General features: G+C 50.9%; 1 long non-coding RNA gene across 1 annotated transcript, besides 3 other annotated features; it reads right to left on the reverse strand.

Moving 5' to 3' along the window:
- LOC105371790 (uncharacterized) lies at positions 4,970-6,616 on the reverse strand. Its single transcript, XR_934778.4, has 4 exons — positions 6,350-6,616; positions 6,186-6,247; positions 5,213-5,330; positions 4,970-5,113 (listed from the first exon to the last, which is right to left on the reverse strand). It is a non-coding gene; the product is annotated as an uncharacterized LOC105371790 (long non-coding RNA).
- Positions 11,119-11,789: an enhancer, noted in NCBI's record as "H3K4me1 hESC enhancer chr17:42357552-42358222 (GRCh37/hg19 assembly coordinates)". NCBI's record gives its function as "activates a minimal SCP1, AML or CMV promoter by ChIP-STARR-seq in primed H9 embryonic stem cells {active_cell/tissue: H9 hESC(primed)}" and the evidence as "EXISTENCE:reporter gene assay evidence [ECO:0000049][PMID:30033119]".
- Positions 12,529-12,822: a transcriptional cis regulatory region, noted in NCBI's record as "candidate enhancer chr17.2867 targeted for multiplex CRISPR interference". NCBI's record gives its function as "positively regulates SLC25A39 and SLC4A1 gene expression in K562 cells {active_cell/tissue: K562}" and the evidence as "EXISTENCE:mutant phenotype evidence [ECO:0000015][PMID:30612741]".
- Positions 19,213-19,832: a transcriptional cis regulatory region, noted in NCBI's record as "candidate enhancer chr17.2868 targeted for multiplex CRISPR interference". NCBI's record gives its function as "positively regulates SLC25A39 gene expression with high confidence in K562 cells {active_cell/tissue: K562}" and the evidence as "EXISTENCE:mutant phenotype evidence [ECO:0000015][PMID:30612741]".

The raw sequence follows: 20,791 nt of genomic DNA on the forward strand, positions 1-20,791 counted from the left end.
CATCGCTCTGGGCACAGAGAGGAGGGTGTCCTAGTACAGCTCCGGCATGGACTGGCTGAAGGAACCTGGACAAGTCCCTGGCCCTCTCTGGGCTTCTGTTTTCTCATCCGTAAAGTGAGAGTGTTGGGTTATGTGGCCACCAGCCTGAAGTTCAGACTCAAGCAGAAGAAACTCAAACACAGGGACACACAGGTGGACAAATCCCGCCACTGCAAGACCATTCACTATCTGCACCACAAGCCTGCCAGGGGCTGAGTCCTGTGGAGAGAGAAAAGGGGAGGGACACGGGTCCTGAGGCAGAATCCTGTTTATGGAGGACCTCGGTTCCAGGAATTATGCTGAGGCCTTCATCTTGTGGTCACGCTGGATTCCTACAAACCCCCCACTTCACAGAGGAGGAAACAAAGCCACAGAGAGGCTTTCCCAGGAAAAAGAATGCCCAACGGACCAGCACCTGCCCCGTGCAGTGCACCATGCCTGGACTTCACACGCTCTAGCTTGCCAAGCTCTCTAAGCCCATCTGAGGACAACACTGTTTACGATGTTTATTCACCTCTCACAGAGAAAGGGCAGCAAAAGGAGAGCAGTGACTTGCCCAAGTCCTCTGGGCTGGTGAAGCCAGCGTGGGCACTCCGACCTGCTAATCTGCCTGGACAGCTGGTGTTCTGCCAGATCTGAGCCCCTCCCACCACCCAGGCCTTGGTGCCGGTCAGGAACAGAGAGAGGCCCTGGCTAAAGGGGGCTGGAGGTGCCTTCTCCTGCTCCAGCTGGTGGGATCTGTCCCAAACCCTGGGCCCACACTGGGTTGGCTTCCTATGGCCTGTGGCAGTGAGTGCCAAGTGAAGACCTTTGACTCCTTGACCCAGCCAGTGTGCCCAGTCCCCTTGCCCCTCTGCCTGCCCTAGGAGTCAGAGACAGCTGAGTGCAGGGGGCAGCAATGGGGCACCTCTCCTGGGGCCCGGGAAGGACTGACAGCTGGCTGGGGGTGGAACAACAAATGGCATCATCTGGCTTAGGGGGAAAATCTGGCCAGCTGTTTGGCTGTTCTGCAGGCACCACCCCCTGGCAGCCCCACCAGACAGCCAGGCAGAGGCACAGCAGCTTGGACGCTGGTTCTTTCCACTCACACCACATGTTCTAGATCATTCTTGTTGCCCTGGCTGAATGTAGATGTTTCTTTTCTAACTCTGCCCAATGTCACATTTAATCTTTTTTTTTTTTTTTTTTTTTTTTTTTTTGAGGCGGTGTTTCGCTCTTGTTGACCAGGCTAGAGTGCAATGGCGCAATCTCGGCTCACTGCAACCTCCGCCTCCTGGGTTTAAGCGATTCTCCTGCCTCAGCCTCCCAAGTAGCTGGGATTATAGGCGCCCACCACCATGCCGGGCTACTTTTTGTATTTTTAGTAGAGATGGGATTTCACCATGTTGGCCAGGCTGGTCTTGAACTCCTGACCTCAGATGATTCGTCTGCCTCCCAGAATGCTGGGATTACAGGTATAAGCCACTGTGTCAGGCCTCTTTTGTTTTTTGTTTTTTTTTGAAATGGAGTCTCACTCTGTCGCCCAGGCTGGAATGCAGTGGCTCAATTTCAGCTCACTGCAACCTCCACCGCCCGGGTTCAAGTGATTCTCCTGCCTTAGCCTCTTGAGTAGCTGGGATTACAGACGCCCAACACCACACCCAGCTAATTTTTGTATTTTTAGTAGAGTTTCACCATGTTGGCCAGGCTGGTCTCAAACTCCCGACTTCAAGTAATCTGCCCACTTCGGCCTCCCAAAGTGCTGGGATTACAGGTGTGAGCCACCTTGCCTGGCCCACATTTACTCTTGTTTATGCTTTTCCAGGAAGAGGTGAGGGCAACCCTCACTCATTTTATTCCAATTTGGACTTGGGTCAGTTTGATTCATCTGAAGGCCTCCATGCGCCTGGCACTAGGCTGCCCTCTGGGGAAGCAAGGCACGAGGGAGTCTTACCTCCCTTTGACTATGCCCCGGGCTGGACAGAGATGGTCGTGGTCAGAAAGATTGGCACCTGGAGGGCTTGAGCAGAGCCCCAAGATGCCTTGAGCTGTGCCCTGAGTGGCCCTTCACACACTCACAGCCCATCCTGCTCTTTCCTTGGAGTCCCTCTTGTCACTACTGCTCTACCACTTCCTAGAGCACTAAGGGAGGAGCCCTCAGATTCCCCTCCCCAAGGTCCATATGTGTCCTCGTTCAAATTTATACTCCTTTGGGAGAAAGCCGGGAGCCCAGGCAGATGTCAGCAGGAATGAAGTGAGCTGAGGGCGAACCCCGTATGATGTTATTTCAGAGCATACAGCTCAGATCACGGGTTGGGATGGGTTGTCCCAGAGGGAGACTCTGTGGGCAGAGGGTGGAGTTCTTCTGAAAGGACAAGACTTTCTCATTTTCTTTTTCCTTTTTCTTTCTTTCTTTCTTTCTTTCTTTCTTTCTTTCTTTTTTTTTTTTTTTTGATACAGAATCGCACTCTGTCACCCAGGCTGAAGTGCAGTGGCGTGATCTCGGCTCACTGCAACCTCCACCTCCCCGGCTCAAGTAATCCTCCTACCTCAGCCTCCTGAGTAGCGGGGACTACAGGCGCACACCACTACACCCAGCGAGTTTCGTATTTTTTGTAGACAGGGTCTTGTTATGTTGCCCAGGCTGGTCTCAAACTCCTGGCCTCAAGTGATCTTCCCACCTCGGCCTCCCAAAGTGCTGGGATATCAGGTGTGAGCCACTGCACCTGGCCTTACTTTCTCATTTTCAATCATCCTGGATGCAGTCAGCCCTCAAGTGAGAAGTGAGGACTGGGTAGTGGCCTTAGAAGGGCCAGCTGCTTTCTCTATCTTACTCTAAGGAGTAGAAGCTGAGACTAGGTAGGACGGGGGTTCGATGATGGTTAAGGGAACTGTCTCTTGCAATGGGATTGGCAATGAGGTGTCAGCTTGGCCTGTGACTGCTGAGGGCAGACCCATTCCATGTGAGCAGACCCTTACATCTTTTCTTCCATGCTCAGCCGGTAATTCTCAGCTGCTATCCTGAAGTCCTCAGCAAAGCTTGCTGGACTGGATCACCTGCCTCTGTTACCCCATGCGGATGGAGGGGAGGGTCTGAGACCATGTTTGGGGCAGAGCAGGCCATGGTTTGCGGTGGCAGCTAAGGTGAGTGGACATCCAGATGGCACGGGGGAGCACCTGAAGGGAGGTGTGGTGGCTGGAGCCAGGAGGCTGGAGGAGGGGACGTGGTCTGGCCAAGGTGGCCTGGAGGGACCTATGTACATTGCTCGGTGAAGATACGGCTTTCTGTGCCCTCATAGACTAGGGACTCAGACCCCTGGGATTTTGCATTAAAGGGAAGTGTCCCACGGCTGGGACATGTGGGCTGTAGAGGACCTCCTCGGGTTGGAAGCCCTGTGTGATCTTGAGCTGACCACACCCTCTCTCTGGACTTCCTTTTCCTCTCTGGACTGTTGTGACCACATGGGATGACAGGTGGGAAAGAGCTTGAAAATAGTCTTCTCTAGATGCAGGCAAGGGGCTGAGTAGTGAACGGGAGAAGGAGCCACGGGGCTCGTGTATCAGGCAGCCTGAGCCAAGGCAGCAGGGCAGGGACCACGCAGCGATAGGAGTTCATGTCCAGCAGGGAGTGTATACAAACCTCAGAGGGAGGATAAGGGATGTAAACAAGGGATGGGCCCGGAGGGACAAGTAATGCGGGAAGTGTGAGGTCCCCAGGGAGACCATGCTGGTGGAGGGCCCAGAGTTGTGAGGTGCAGCCCTGAGCAGTCTGGGGGTGGATGGAAGTGGGGCAGGGTGCACACACGTTAGGAATGGACCAGTCATCATTATCACCTGGTGAGGGAGTGGGGAGGTGCGGGGAATCAGGCGGGAGAGCTGGGGGATGGGGCTGGAACTGGAAAGGCTCTCAGAGCTGAGCCAGTCCAGTCCCCCTACCCTCAGAACCCTGTGCCCCGTGACCCTCATCACCAGCACCCTCGGCTGGGCCCTGGGGAGTCCTGGGAGGAAGGCGGTTTCTACTGTCTAGGGGCAGCCAGGCCAGATCTGTGCAAAAATAACTCACCCTGAGCATCCTTCCAGAGATACACGCTGGGAGTTCTGCAGGGTCCCCTGAGAGCTGAGGAGGAGGAAGAGGGGAAGTGGGAGTTCCAGCAGGACTTTGAAGGATGGGGGCGGTTTCTCCAAATGGGAGGAGGAGGGAGGTCAAAGGGCAGGTTTGGGCCAGTGTGATGGCTCAGGCCTGTAATCGGCACTTTGGGAGGCCAAGGTGGGAGAATTCCTTGAAGCCAGGAGTTCTCAAGACCAGCCTGAGCAACATAGCAAGACACCATCTCTACAAAAAGTAAAAAAAAAAAAAGTTACCTTTTTAGCCAAGTGTGGTGACACAGGCCTGTAGCCCTAGCTACCTGGGAGGCTGAGATGGGAAGATCGCTTGAGTCCAGGAGTTCAAGACTGCAGTGAGCTATGATGGCACCACTGCACTCCTGCCTGAGTGAGTGAGACCCTGTCTCTAATAAAGAAAATAAATAACTATTTTGGTGGCTCACACCTGTAATCTCAGCACTTTGGGAGGCTGAGGCAAGCAGATCACTTGAGGTCAGGAGATCGAGAGCAGCCTGGCCAACAAGGTGAAACCCTGTTTCTACTAAAAACACAAACATTTGCTGAGTGTGGTGGCGCATGCCTGTAATCCCAACTCCTCAGAGGGCTGAGGCATGACAATCACTTGAGCCCAGGAGGCGGAGCCCAGGTTGCAGTGAGCTGAGATCCTACCACGCACTCCAGCCTGTAAAACAGAGGAAGACCCTATCTCAAAAAATAATAATAAATAAATTCAATAATTTAAAAAACAAAAACAAGGGCAGGTTTGGAGAGCTGTGGGGTCAGCTTGGCTCTGCAGAGAGTTCAGTGTGCGGGGGTGTCCTGGGAGGAGGATCTGCTTGAGGGGCTCAAGGCAGGCTGTGAGCTCTCTGAGTCTTGACACTCACCTTTCTCTGAATGTTCTCTGTTCTCTTGGCTTCTGGATCTTTCCATGCACTGTTCCCTTGTCCTGAGATGCCTTTCCTTTCCAAACTTGCTGGACCAAAGCTTTGACCTTCAAGGTTCATTGTTTGCATTCCCAGCTCTGTGAATTCCTTCTCTCCCGCCAACCTTCCAACCCCTGGAGATTGACAGGTCCCAGCCCAGCACCTACCTGTGTCATTGCCTCTCTGCTCCCTACTGAGATGGTCCATGGTCCTGTGTGTCTCCTCCACAGATCATGTTCCCAAGGACAAGGACCCTCACTCAGGTCCTTAAACCTGACCAGGGCTCTGCCGGTAGTTGATAGTTTATATGAGTTTGTTGACTTGAATGAAATCAATACAAAAATCCGTCCCTTTGCCGGGTGCAGTGGCACATGCCTGTAATTCCAGCACTTTGGGAGGCTGAGGCAGGAGGATCACTTGAGACCGAGAGTTTGAGACCAACCTGGGCAACACAGTGAAACCCTGTCTCTATTAAAAAAAATTCTGTCCCTTACCCCACTGCCAAAAGTATAGGTGAAAAAACTAATATTTGGGCTGGATGCAGTGGCTCATGCCTATAATCCCCGCACTTTGGGAGGTCAAGGCGGGCAGATCACTTGAGGTCAGGAGTTCGAGACCAGCATAGTCAACATGGTGAAACCCTATCTCCACTAAAAATACAAAAATTAGCCAGGCATGGTGGCACACATCTGTAATCCCAGCTACTCGAGAAGCTGAGGCACGAGAATTGCTTGAACCTGAGCGGTGGAGGTTGCAGTGAACCAAGATAGTGCCACTGCCCTCCAGCCTGGGTGACAGGGCAAGACCATGCCTCAAAAAGAAAAGAAAACTAATATTTGAGAAAGGTCAAACAAGTGATACATTAACAGTCTTATTTTATTCGAATCCTTTCCCTAAACACAAGCAAGCAAAGAAACAAACCCTGAGCCTCCTCCAGTCCTCTCCATCCACTTGGTTCCTCAAATCCCCAAACCCAGTTGCTTCCTTGACTCTTAATTTTCCCTCACTCCCAATCCCCACTTCCAATAACAGCTCATTCTACTGGATCTAGCTTCATGCTTCTATCCTCTTCTCCCCATCTCCACTGCCCACCCGCCGGGCCCCTCATCATGCTCCTCCGTCACCCCAGGAGTCTCTCACCTGGCCTCCTGGCTTCACTTAGGCCCCCTACAATGCGGTTGCCACACAGCAGTCAGAGTGACCTTTTAGAAACATAAATCAGAGGATATCATCCTGAGTGTAAAATCCTTTGTGACTTCCCCACACCCATTCCCTACTCCGGGCAACTCCTGCCCTCTGCTCACCTCCTCTGTTCCTCGAAAGCACGAGTGCCATCCTGTCGGGATGCTCCTCCCTGATCTCCCCATGGCTGGCTCCTTCTCACCAGGCAAGTCTCAGGTCAAATATTACCCCTGCAAAAGGCCTTCTAAGGCCTTCTTTCATCACCCAATTGGACAAAAACCCCAGCCACTCTCGCTGTGGCAAAGAAAATCAAGACAGACTGTGTGCGAGAGAAAACTCAAAATTTTAGTGGCTTAAGCAAGATAGAAGTTTATTTCTTGGCTGGGCGCGGTGGCTCACACCTGCAATCCCAGCACTTTGGGAGGCCAAGGCAGGCGGATCACTTGAGGTCAGGAGTTTGAGACCAGCTTGGGCAACATAGCAAGACCCTGTCTCTATTTTTTTTGTTGTTTTTTTTGAGACAGAGTCTTGCTCTGCAGGTAGGAGGAAGGGGTAAAGAGGAATGTGTCCCCTTTCTTTATTTTATTATTTTTTGAGATGGAGTTTTGCTCTTGTTGCCCAGGCTGGAGTGCAATGGCGCCATCTTGGCTCACTGCAACCTCTGCCTCCCAATTCAAACGATTCTCCTGCCTCAGCCTCCCAAGTAGCTGGGACTACAGCCATGCGCCTCCATGCCCAGCTAATTTTGTATTTTTTTTTTTTTTTTTGAGACGGAGTCTCGCTCTGTTGCCCAGGCTGGAGTGCAGTGGCATGATATCAGCTCACTGCAACCTCTGCCTCCTGGGTTCAAGCGATTCTCCTGCCTCAGCTTCCTAAGTAGCTGGAACCACAGGCTACACACCACCGTGCCTGGCTAATTTTTGTATTTTTAGTAGAGACGGGGTTTCACCGTGTTGGCCAGGCTGGTCTCCAACTCCTGACCCCATGATCCACCTGCCTCGGCCTCCCAAAGTGCTGGGATTACAGGCGTGAGCCACTGCACCCAGCCTAATTTTATATTTTTAGTAGAGGTGGGGTTTCTCCATGTTGGTCAGGCTGGTCTCGAACTCCCGACCTCAGGTGTTCTGCCCACCTCGACCTCCCAAAGTGCTGGGATTACAGGCGTGAGCCACTGCACCCAGCCTGTGTCCCCTTTCTTTAAGGGTATTTCCCAGAGGTTGCTTCTGCTTACATCCCATTGGCCCAGACTCAGTTCCATGGCTACATTTAGCTTCAAGGGAGCCTAGGAAATGTAGCTTTTATTCTGGGAAGTCCTGTGTTCTATTACACTGGAAGAAGAGGAGAATGGAAATTAGAAGGCCCCTAGCAATCTCAGCCAGAATCATATCATCATATCACCTACTAAATTATCTTTTCCCTATCAGCTGATGCTTTCTTTTCTTTTCTTTTTCTTTCTTTCCTTCTTTCTTTCTTTCTTTCTTTCTTTCTTTCTTTCTTTCTTTCTTTCTTTCTTTCTTTCTTTCTTTCTTTCTTTCTTTTTTTTTTTTGAGACAGAGTCTTGTTCTGTCACCCAGGCTGGAGTGCAGTGGCACAATCTCGGCTCACTGCAACCTTCATCTCCCAGGTTCAAGTGATTCTCCTGCCTCAGCCTCCTGAGTAGCTGGGACTACAGGCAGCCCCCACCACACCTGGCTAATTTTTGTATTTTTAGTAGAGACGGGGTTTCACCATATTAGCCAGGCTGGTCTCGAACTCCTGATCTTGTGATCCACCTGCCTCGGCCTCCCAAAGTGCTAGGATTACAGGCATGAGCCACCGTGCCCGGCTGACAGTTTCTTATTTAATTATTTGTTTATTATGATCTATTGCTGCCTCTAGAACATAAGCTTCATGGGGGCAGGTCCTTTGCCATCCTTGTCTGTAGTCATGTCGCCAGTGCCTAGGCACAGAGCCTGGCAAAGGCGGGCTCTACATTTTTACTGAATGAATGATTGAACGACTCCCCACAATAATGATTTGAGAATGCATTCTCGTTCCCATCTTAACAAGTGGGGAAAATGAGACTCAGAGAAATTAAATAACTTGCCTAAGGACAGTTGGCAGTAGGGCCAAGATTTGAACCTTGCTCTCTGTGGCTCCAGCACTCTTTCAACTCTTTCCACTTCACATGCTGGCTCCCCTGATGTCTCAGCTGCACCCTGGATCAAGTTAGATGCCAGGAAACATGGCTGGGTGCGGTGGCTCATGCCTGTAATTCCCAGCACTTTGGGAGGCTGAGGCAGCAGGATTCCTTGAGCTCAGGAGTTCGAGACCAACCTGGACAACATAGGGAGACCCCCATCTCTATTAAAAAAAAAAAAAAAAGAAAAGAAAAGAAGGCAGGAGGCAATCACCTGGAATCTCTTAGTGCAATTTCCCCGGGAAATTCCACCCCAAGTTCTCACTAATATCATTCCTATAGCCTCTAATGGGATCAACATAATACCTTCCTGCAAATCAATGGGTGAGGATGTCACACAGAATCCATGAAATCAATCCTGCTGGAAGTAAGTACCGGATACTGTCTGAAACTCCAGATGAACTGATAGGTTTCTTTATTTCAGACAGAGAAGGGCCATCTAAGTCATCAGGTTTCCCTTTTTACCTTGGCTGCTAGGAAACTTCGAGTTTTAAGTAAGCACCCAGAACGCAGAGGCAGCCTCAACCTCAGGTAAAGTGCTGTAATGAACAGAATGTATGTGATTTGGAACCAGGGAGCCTAAACTTGAGTCTCAGCCAATGCTCCTGTGAGCAAGACATTCAAACTTCTCTGGACCTTAGAACCGAGGTGATAAACACGTAACTCCTCCGTCCCAGGGCTGTTAAGAGGGTTAAGTGAGCTAATGTATTGGCAAGCTCTCCAGAAATGATTTGATGCTGCATAATGGTCAGACTGTGTCACATGCAGTCACAGGGTACAGTCAGCTCACAGGGGCTGAGCTGTAGCTTCTCATGTCCCAGGAATTATTAAACAAGAGAATGAAGTGGTCAGGGAAGGCTTCAAGGAAGAGACACCTTGAAGGATGGGTGGAACCCTCTGATGGAGAAAATTTGACAGCGTCATTCCTGTACCCTGTAGTGCTGACCTCCCAGGTCACCTCTAATTCCCATCCTGGCCTGCATCTTCCCATCCTTTTAGGTACCCTCTAACCATTACTAATCCCACTGTCTAGTCTCTGTCCCCAGGGGTGAAAATCAGCCCACGGGTGGATAGAGCTGCCCTCAGATGGCTCACAAGTTTCCAGAGACCCAGGGGTTCAAAATGACCAAGTCAACCAGCAGTTACTATTCCTTTATTCGTTCAACACCTGCTCACACGGTCGGGCATGGTGGCTCATGCCTGTAATCCCAGCCCAGCACTTTGGGAGGCCCCGGCGGGTGGATTGCTTGAGCCCAGGAGTTTAAGACCAGATTGGGCAACATGGTGAAACCCCATTTCTACAAAAAAATATAAAAATTAGCCAGGTGGGGTGGTGCATGCCTGTAGTCCCAGCTACTAAGGAGGCTGAGGCAGGAGGATCGCCTGGGCCCAGGAGGTCTAGGGTGCAGTGAGCCATGATCATGCCACTGCACTCTGGCCTGGGTGACAGAGCAAGACCTTGTCTCAAAACAAAAACAAAAACACCAGCTCACACAAGGGTCATCAAAGAGTGTTTAGATGCTTGAGGGGATGGATACCCCATTCTCCATGATGTGCTTATTTCACATTGCATGCCTGTGTCAAAACACCTCATGTACCCCTTACATGTACCCCATAAATATATACAATTACTATGTACCCACAAAAATTAAAATAAAAAAAAGGAGGCTAGACGCAGTGACTCATGCCTGTAATCCCAGCATTTTTGGAGGCTAAGGCGAGTGGATCACCTGAGGTCAGGAGCTTGAGACCAGCATGGCTAACATCGCAAAATCCTGTCTCTACTAAAATACAAAAATTAGCTAGGCTCGGTGGCAGGCACCTGCAATCCCAGCTACTCGGGAGACTGAGGCAGGAGAATCGCTTAAACCTGGGAGGCAGAGGTTGCGGTGAGCCAAGGTTGCACCATTGCACTGCAGCCTGGGCGATGAGAGTGAAACTCCATCTCAAAAAAATAAAAATAAAATAAAAAATAAATAAGGAGAGTTTAGTCTTGGAAAAAGCCCCAGCCCAGGATGAGAGGCTGAAATCTGGGCTCTCCCCAACTAGCAACATCTGACCCTCAACTTCCTCATCCATACAAAAGACTTAATCACACATCACAAAGACCATCCTCAATAAGGGGTGCTGTCTTTACTGTCAGCCTGTACTCAATCTTCCTAAAACTTGAAGAAAGTAGGGTACAGAGAGGTGAAGTAAATTCCCCGAGGTCACACAGCTCATAAGCAGCAGAGCTGGATTGGGACTGGGGATTCACACACTGAAACTTGGGATGGGGGTAGGGAGGGGAAACTCTCCAGGAAATGGCTCTTCTCAGTCGGTGAGATTTTGAGGTCAAACCAGCTGGAGGGAGCCAGGCTCTGGCGGGGCAGCAGCAGACCGGAAACCACAGCCGACTAAGACTGACCTTGGCCTGTAGGGCTGGCTGGGTAGGGCGGGGACGGCCTTGGTTCCCAGCCCTGATTCACTACGTCATTGAAGTCGGTGGCTGAAGACCTCAGCTCTGTCTACTCAGGCTTAGGTGGCCGGGACGCAGGCCTGGCGTAGGGGGGCGCCTGGAAGGGCCTGCATGCAGGTGCAGAGAACCTGCAGGGCGTGAGACCCGCGTAGGGAGAGTACCTATCCTATGTCTGGGGGGAATCTATGCTGGGGAGCCCTGTGGAGGAGGACCTATGGCCGGCGGCCCCCTCTTCCTTCCCCTGACCCTGCACTCCTGGCTCCCTCCCACTTCTGACCCTTCCAGCTGTTCCATGTGGCCTCAGGATAAAGTTCAAGTTCCTCCTTCTGACCTGGCCCCTGCTGTGAACTTGCTCTCCGTCCCCAGCCTGCCCTACTGGTCCTGTCTCTGCGCACTCCCTTAGCTTCATTCACTTTAAAATTGAGCTCAGGCCTCTCTGCAGTCCAGCTTCCACTCCTTCTTCGACTTGGACCTGGCGTGGACGACTGGCCTTCCTCTCCTCTCTCCTGAAGCCCGTCGGACCTCCGCCATGCATGCCTCCCCTTCTGCTAGGTCCTGAGGACCCACCTGTGACTCAGTCACCCTCTGCTTTCAGGGCAGCAGGCACACAGTGGCTCAGAACAAAGGGTGATGGAGGCTGACTGCCTGTGGTCACTGCTGGGGAAGCTGCCTCTGCACTGCCCCAGCCCCGACCAAGGCGTGACCCTTTGAAATACCCGGAACCACAGAACAACCTCCTCTGCTGTGGGGTAAAGGTAGAGGTCGAGGGTCAGCCCCAGGCAGCATCCCAGGTGCCATCAGAGGGCCCCTGATGCTTGGAGCCAGGGTAGGGAGGCGCTGTGTCTAGAAGGGTGCACTTGGGCTCCCCTGGACAACACTGGCTGTGTGAAAGGAACCCCAGCATTAAGGAGGGGTTCCCCCACCCCTGCTATGCACTTTATTTAAAGCCAACCAAACACTGTTAAAATATGAATCACGGGCCAGTTGCAGTGGCTCACACCTGTAATCCTAGCACTTTGGGAGGCTGAGGTGGGCAGGTCACTTGAAGTCGGGAGTTCGAAACCAGCCTGGCCAACATGGTGAAACCCAGTCTTTACTAAAAATACAAAAAAATTAGCCGGGCGTGGTGGCACACACCTGTAATCCCAGCTACTCTGGAGGCTGAGGCAGGAGAATTGCTTAAACCCAGGAGGCGGAAATTACAGTGAGCTGAGATGGCACCACTGCACTCCAGCCTGGGCGGCAGAGCAAGAGTCCGTCTGAAAATAAATAAATAAATAAATAAATAAATAAATAAAAAGAATCACTGCAGCTGTGAATCCACATTAACCCAAAACAGCAGCAAGTAACTGGACCACCCATACTCCTGGCTAGGCCTGGGCTGGACAATGGAAGGGGGAGCAGGGGGGTGGGTGGAGGTAAAGGGAAAGTCTCTCTTGCATCTGTGCCCAATATGCCTGCGTGTCCTAGGGTATGTCTGTATGACAAGGCAGCGGCTGGTGTACCCAAGGGGGTGAGGATGGCATTGTGGGCGATCAGCTCCCATCTTCCCTCTGGCTTGCCCCTGTCTTTTTTCCCCTACAAATCCCCTGGTTCCTGGTGCCTCTCGATGGCTGACCCAACCTTCCTCAGGGCAGGTAGCTCCTCTTCTCAGTCCTGGCCTCCCATCCAAGCCCATGAGGGCCCCTTCCTTGCTGGAAAAACTCTGTCTGTGTTAGTCCTGGAGGAGGGAACAGATAGTTCCCCCAGAAAAGGGCCAAGCCTCCCTTGGGGAGCAGCTCCAGCCCTTCTTGGTCTGTCCTATCTGCTAAGCCAGATGTTTGGGGCCTCCACCTGACAGCTGATGGCAGGGTCTGTCACAGGGCCAGGGCTATGGGTGTGTCCCCCACTGTGTGTGTTTGGCAGGGCAGGTAGGGGAGCAGTTAAGCCAATGGCTTTGAGAGGGTCTGGTGTCTTACTAGTTGTGCGACCTTGAATAAGTTCCCAGAGGTCTCTAAAGTCAAGTTCTTCATCCTTATGGCCAGGCATAGTGGCTCACGCCTGTAATCCCAGCACTTTGGGAGACCAAGGTGGGTGGATCACCTGAGGTCAGGAGTTCGAGACCAGCCTGGCCAACATGGTGAAACCCCATCTCTACTAAAAATACAAAAAATTAGCTGGGTGTGGTGGCAGCTGCCTGTAAACCTAGCTACTTGAGAGATTGAGGCAGGAGAATCGCTTGAACCTGGGAGGCAGAGGTTGCAATGAGCTGAGATCTCGCAACTGCACTCCAGCCTGGGCGACAGAGAGAGACTCCGTCTCAAAAAAAAAAAAAAACAGTTCTTCATCTTTAACACCCAGCCTCCTAGAGAGGTTGTGCTGATAGGAAGACGTTGCACAGGCAGCCCTTAGCACAGCTCCATGCACACAGTTGAGTTTGATAAATAGTAGCGATCACTTTTAGGAGAAAACCCCAGTGGGCATGGGGGCTGCTGTGGGAGTCTTCCCTGTGCTGGGCCCTGAGACCAGGGGCCTCTGCCACCTTCAGAATGCTCCAGGCAGGGCGTTAGATGCCCAAAGGCCTGGCTGATGGAGCAAAAACTCTCTGGGCCCCAAACCCCTGGCCCTGGCTTCTCCTCCTTTGTGGACTTTCCCAAGTAGGGGACTTGAGAAGCCCACCCCTAATCCCAGCAGGAAGGTTGAGCTCTGGGGAGACCTCACAGGGAAAACCCCAGAAATGTCTATTCCTCCTCTGTGCCTCAGTCTCCCTGTGTGGTGGGAAGTCAAGCGGACCCTAGATGACTCCACTCAGACTCAGCTGTCCCTCTGAGAGCCTGGAGAAGGACAGGGAGCCCCCAAGTCCAAGCTCCCCCTCCTCTGGCTCCTTGTTTCTTTCTTTTTGTTTTTAGTGACAGGGTCTGGCTCTGTCACCCAGGCTGGAGTGCAGTGGTGCGATCACAGCTCACTGCGGCCTCGAACTCCTGGGCTCAAGCGATCCTCCCATCTCAGCCTGCCAAGTAGCTGGGACTACAGCCACACACCACCATGCTGGGCTAATTGTTGTTGTTGAGACCGGGTCTCCCAATATTGCATCAGCTGGTCTGAAACTCATGGACTCAAGTGATCCTCTCACTTTGGCCTCCCAAAGTGCTGGGATTACAAGAGTGAGCCACCACTCCCCAGCTCCTCTTGTTTTTTTTAGGTTTTTTTTTTTTTTTTTTGAGACGGAGTCTCACTCTGTCACCCAGGCTGGAGTGCAGTGGTACGTTCTCGCTCACTGCAACCTCTGCCTCCTGGGCTCAAGTGATTCTCCTGCCTCAACCTCCCAAGTAGCTTGGATTACAGGCATGTGCCATGATGCCTGGCTAATTTTTTGTATGTTTGGTAGAGAAGGGTTTTTGCCATGTTGTCCCGGCTGGTCTCGAACTCCTGACCTCAAGTGATCCACCTGCTTAGGCTTCCCAAAGTGCTGGAATTACAGGTGTGAGCCCCCGCGCCCTGCCACCTCTTGTTTCTTTTTGAACAGACTGTGGAGCAGCCAGTCAGGACCCAGAGCCACAGGCCTGTCCCTGCACTGGTTAATTTCAACTGGCTCTGGGCCCGTGGTGTTGAAGGGGCCCTGGGTGGGGTTGGGTGGGGAGTAGAGACTGGTGTCTATGGGGCCCAGGCTTCTATCTCAGAACCCAGCGCTGTCAGCTGAGAGACTTGGGAGGGGCCAACATTAACCCATCTTGCTTTGGAGGAAACATACTGGTTCCGATATCAGCCGTGGGGTGGGGCGCGGTTTCCAGTCTGTGCCTCAGTTTATTCTTTGGAAATAGGAAGAATGGAGTTTCCTAGCCTCCACTTTGAGAAGATGGGGGAAGTTGGTTCATTTATTCATTCAGGTAGTCAATCTACAAACATTTATTTTGAACCCACTCTGCACCACCCATGTGTCAGGCACTGTGCTAGGCACCTGGGATACAGAAGTTTGAAACCAAAGCTGAGGGACCTGGAAGCCTCCAAGCCTAGGGGAGAGTAAACACACCTAATCCTGGGTCTGTGCAGAGAGAAGCAGCAGCCCAGAGCCTGTAGGAGCCATTCATGCACCAAGTTACACATCATTTTGGCCAGCAAACCCCAGGAATTAGTATGGATTTCCTCCTGTGATTTAGCAGAGAGGTAAACATGCTGGAAGCCTGTAGCAGGTGTGTCAATGATGAAATGAGCCGGCGGTTTGGTGGCTCCTGCCATTCCTTCTTCATCTCAGTCAGGAAGGCCTGGAGGGTAGATGCCATGAAGGACTGCCAGTAGCTGTGACGTATAAATACCTCTGTCTTCTGCCTCATCTGCCCAGCAGGCCCTGGATTTGCAGGACCTCACCATGGGGGTGTTTGCTCACACCAGGACTCTTCGCCACTGGAGGCCACTGACCACACTAAATGTGGCCCCACATCCAGATTTTAATCTCTAATACTTTTCCACTCAAAGGAAATAAGATTCTTAGGATGATAATGGATTCTCTGTCTTGGGGTGTGAAAAAGAAAGTCAGGTCCTGGTGCAGTGACTCATGCCTATAATCCCAGCACTTTGGGAGGCTGAGGTGGGAGGACTGCTTGAGCCTAGGAGGTCGAGACCAGCTGAGCAACATAGTGAGACACTGTCTCTACAAAAAATTTAAAAATCAGCTGGGCTTGGCCGGGCGCAGTGGCTCAAGCCTATAATTTCAGTACTCTGGGAGGCCGAGGTGGGGGGATCACGAGGTCAAGAGATCAAGACCATCTTGGCCAACGTGGTGAAACCCCGTCTCTACTAAAAATACAAAAATTAGCTGGGCGTGGTGGCACGCACCTGTAGTCCCAGCTACTCGGGAGGCTGAGGCAGGAGAATCACTTGAACCTGGGAGGTGGAGGTTGCAGTGAGCTGAGATCACACCACTGCACTCCAGCCTGGCGATAGAGCAAGACTTTGTCTCCAAAAAAAAAAAATTAGCTGGGCATGATGGTGTGTGGCTGTAGTCTCAGCTACTTGGAAGGCAGAGAGCAGAGGATCTCTTGAGCCTGGGAGGTTGAGGCTGAAGTGAGCCGTGATTGCGCCAGTGCACTCCAGCCTGGGCAACAGAGTGAGACCCTGTCTCAAGACAAAAAACAGAAAATCAGCATGTGACTTGAAAATCTGGTTGATCCCAGGAAGCAAGAAAACTTTCAAGGATGTCAGAGGCAGTGCTGAGAAGCCCATTGCTGGTAGTCTGAGCATCAGCAAGACAGAGAATTAGGCTAACCTGAGATAAACCAGGAAAGCATCAGGGCTACACAGACAGGAGGGCTCGAGGGTCAAAACATGCTTGTAATCATGGACAGGCCTCTGCGGGATCAGCGGGATGGGGGGATGGGGCATGAGATGAAGGCAAAAAGCAAGCAAGGACAGAAGAGACACCTCTACTTTAAAGAGAGTTTGGGTCCAGGTACAGTGTCTCACGCCTGTAATCCCAGCACTTTGAGAGGCCAAGGTGGGCGAATCACTTGAGGTCAGGGGTTCGAGAACAGCCTGGCCAACACAGCGAAAACCCATCTCTGAAAAATATAAAAATAAGCTGGTGTGTCCCGGCATGGTGGCTCACGCCTGTAATCCCAGCACTTTGGGAGGCTGAGGCAGGCAGATCATGAGGTCAAGCAATTGAGACCATCCTGGCCAACAAGTGAAACCGCGTCTGTACTAGAAATACAAAAATTAGCTGGCTGTGGTGGCTTGTATCTGTAGTCCCAGATATTCGGGAGGCTGAGGCAGGAGAATCGCTTGAACCCAGGAGGCGGAGATTGCAGTGAGTCTAGATCGCACCACTGCACTCCAGCCTGGCGACAGAGGGAGATCCTGTCTCAAAATAAAATTAAATTAAATCAAAAATAAAGAGAGTTTGGAAGTTTACCATCACAAAGAAACCCTCAGTTTGCCAGATAACCAGATTTAGTATGTTTCAAATAATTTGATTGGTGTATGCTTTGTCAATTGTTTAGGGTGGCCAGGTGCTGTGGCTTATGCCTGTAATCCCAACACTTTGGGAGGCCGAGACGGGAGGATCACTTGAGCCCAGGAATTTGAGACCAGCCTGGCCAACATGGCAAAACCCCATCTCTACAAAAAATACAAAATATTAGCTTGGCATGGTGGCATGCACCTGTGGTCCCAGCTACCAGGGAAGCTGAGGTGGGAGAATTGCTTGAGCCTGGGGAGGTCGAGGCTGCAGTGAGCCATGATTGTGCCACTGCACTCCCACCTGGGTGACAGAGTGAGGCCCTGTCCCCAAAAAAAAAAAAAAAAAAATTGTTGGGCGGGTGCAGTGGCTCACGCCTGTAATCCCAGCACTTTGGGAGGCCGAGGTGGGTGGATCGCCTGAGGTCAGGGGTTCGAGACCAACCTGGCCAACATGGTGGAACCCCATCTCTACTAAAAATACAAAAATTAGCTGGGTGTGGTGGCAGGTGCCTGTAATCCCAGCTACTCATGCCTCAGCCTCCTGAGTAGCTGGGATTACAAGATTACAGGCAGAAGAATCGCTTGAACCCTAGAGGCAGAGGTTGCAGTGAGCCGAGATCGCACCACTGCACTCTGGCCTGGGCGATAGAGTGAGACCCTGTCTCAAACAAACAAACAAACAAACAAAAAACCGGGCATGGTGGCTCATGCCTGTAATCTCAGCATTTTGGGAAGCTGAGGTGGGCACATTACAAGGTCAAGAGTTCAAGACCAGCCTGGCCAACATGGTGAAACCCCCGTCTCTACTAAGAATACAAAAATTAGCCGGGCATGGTGGCACATGCAGGTAATCCCAGATGCTCGGGAGGCTGAGGCAGGAGAATCGCTTTAACCTGGGAGGCAGAGGTTGCAGTGAGCCGAGATCATACCACTGCACTCCAGCCTGGGCAACAGATTGAGACTCCGTCTCAGAAAAAAAAAAAAACTGTTTAAGGCGTTTAAAGTGTTCAGATAAATCATCCATAATTTCATTACGGTGTGTAATTGAAGCAGAGTCTCCAGGGCCCATGGGACCGAGTTAAAAATCCCAATGCTAACATTCACCAGCTGTGTGACCTTGGGCAAGTCACTTCACCTCTCAGGGCTTCAGTTTCCTCAGCTGCAAAGTGGGAACCAGATGATAATAATTGAATGTCCTTCATGGGGCTGTTGTGAGAATTAAATGAAGAATACGTTCAAAGCACTTCAAACAGTGCTTGATGCATAGTAAATGCACGATAGTATTTTAATTTTCATTGTTTAGGTAATTCATGTTTTTTAAATATAAACATGAGTACTTTTATTTATTATTATTTTTTGAGACAAAGTCTCAGTCTGTCACCCAAGCTGGAGTGCAGTGGCACAATCTCAGCTCACTGCAACGTCTACCTCCCGGGTTCAAGTGATTCTCATGCCTCAGCCTCCTGAGTAGCTGGGATTACAGGTGTGCACCACCACACCTGGTTAATTTTTGTATTCTTAGTAGAGACAGGGTTTCACCATGTTGGCCAGGCTGGTCTCAAACTCCTGACCTCAAGTGATCTGCCCGCCTCAGCCTCCCAAAGTGCTAGGATTACAGGTGTGAAGCACTGTGGCCGGTCTAGGTAATTCATGTTTAATATGTTAGGAAAAATTTAATTTGTCGAACTCCTAAGTGTTAACTTTTGCTTAGGTGAATATTAAAGAGATGTTGATTGTTTAAAGAGATATCGATTATTTGATAAACCCATTAGCTTAATAAACTGCACATGAAACCAAGTTTTGGCAAGAGTGAGGTTTTCTCTCCATTCAGTAAACGTCCTTGGATCTTGAAGAATTTAATAAATCACCTTCCCTCCCCCAGCTCCACCCATCCACTGGGGGCTCAGGCTGTTCAATACCACTCCCTGCCACCCTGAGTCCTCCGTCAGCTACCGACACATACCCAGGCCTCTGGTCTCCCTCCCTCAGTCGACCGCTCTCCAAGAAGCCCACTCTCCCTCTACTCATGCCTCCCCCAAAGCCCGAGTCTGTCCTGTTAAACCCACCGGACAATCCTCCTTTACCTAGAGCCATGGCCCTATGGCTCTCCTCCCCTTCACAGCTCAACTCAGAGTGACACTCTCCTCTTCCTCCGCCAAGCCTCTCCCCCATCTCCCCTTTCCATGAAGAACCTATTAATGGCCACGTCTAATGGGTGACCCCAGATCCCTGGCTGGATTTTTTTTTTTTTTTAGACAGGGTCTCACTCTGTCATCCAGGTGGGAGTGCAGTGGCACAATCAACAGCTCATTGCAGCCTCGACCTCCTGGGCTCAAGCAATCCTCCTGTCTCATTTTTTCTTTTTTTTAAATTTTTGGTAGAGATGAGATCTCATTATGTTGCTGGTCTTGAACTCCTGGGCTCAAATGATCCTCCCACTTCTGCCTTCCAAAGTGCTGGGAGTACGGGCATGAGCCACTGTGCCCGGCTCCCAGCTGGATTTCTCTGCAGCATTTGACACACGGAGCCTGTCCCTTCTTGGAAATATCTGCACCCCAGGTCCTCTCCTATCTCTTTGGTGGTTTCTTCTTTATCTTCCTGGCTAGCTAGTCTTCCTCCTATCACCTCCCCCCACGTCGGTTCTCCCCCAAATCCATCCCTCCTGAGCTATCTTCTCCCTCCACTCTGCACTTTCATAGTGCACTGTCACAACCTGGCCCTCCTCCAGGGTGGCCTATCTCAGCCAGTTATGCCCCTTCCAGCCATTGCTCACGCCAGAAACCAAGGAGTGACTGCAAAACTTCCGCCTTATCTGGCCAATCACCAAAGGGCCAACCATTGGCTTCCCTGTAACTGGATGACCTTCTCAAGCCCAAGCGGGAGCTTGCCACTTCCTACTAACGTTCATATGCTGATATTCAAATTCTTCTGTCTAGCTTCCCGTTTCATTCCTCTTCTTTAGTCTGTTCCACTATTAGCCCAGGGCACACAGTAGGTTCTCAAATATTTTTTTTGTTTGAGACGGAGTTTCACTCTTGTCACCCAGGCTGGAGTGCAGTGGCGCGATCTCAGCTCACTGCAACCTCCACCTCCTGGGTTCAAGCAATTCTCCTGCCTCAGACCCCAGAGTAGCTGGGATTACAGGCACACGCCACCATGCCCGGCTAAATTTGGTATTTTTAGTAGAGTTGGGGTTTCACATGTTGGCCACGTCTCGAACTCCTGGCCTCAGGTGATCCACCTGTCTCGGCCTCCCAAAGTGCTGGGATTACGGGCGTGAACCACCATGCCCAGCCTCAAATGTTTGTTGAATGTGTATGCTAAAAGGTAATGGTAAGAAGATGACAAAAATATATACGATGCAGTTCACAATGGCTAAAGGTAGAACAATTATAGAATTTAAAGTAAAATAACACTACAGTAGTTCCCCCTTATCTTCAGAGAATATGTTCCAAGACCCCCAGTAGTTGCCTGAAACTGTGGATAGTATGGAACCCTGTATGTGGAGAGTAAGGAACCCTATATATATTATGTTTTTTTTTTTTTTTTTTTTTTTGAGACAGAGTCTCACTTTGTTGCCCAGGCTGGAGTGCAGTGGCACGATCTCAGCTCACTGCAACCTCCGCCTCCCGGGTTCAAGCGATCCTCCTGCTTCAGTCCCCCATCCCCAGTAGCTGGGATTACAGGCACATGACACCATGCCTGGCTAAGACAGGGTTTCATCATGTTGGCCAGGCTGGTCTTGAACTCCTGACCTCAGGTGAACTCTGCCTTGGCCTCCAAAGTGCTGGGATTACAGGCATGAGCCACTGCGCCTGGCCTATACTGTTTTTTCATATGTACACATACCTATGATAAAGTTTAATTTATAAATTAGGCACAGTAAGAGATTACAACAACTAATAATAAGCTGGAACAATTACACTGTATTAAAAGTTATATGAATGTGGTCTCTCTCTCTCAAAATATCTTATTGGGCTGGGCATGGTGGCT

This window comes from Homo sapiens, chromosome 17 (genome assembly GCF_000001405.40).
Source record: "Homo sapiens chromosome 17, GRCh38.p14 Primary Assembly".
NCBI classification, from domain to species: domain Eukaryota; kingdom Metazoa; phylum Chordata; class Mammalia; order Primates; family Hominidae; genus Homo; species Homo sapiens.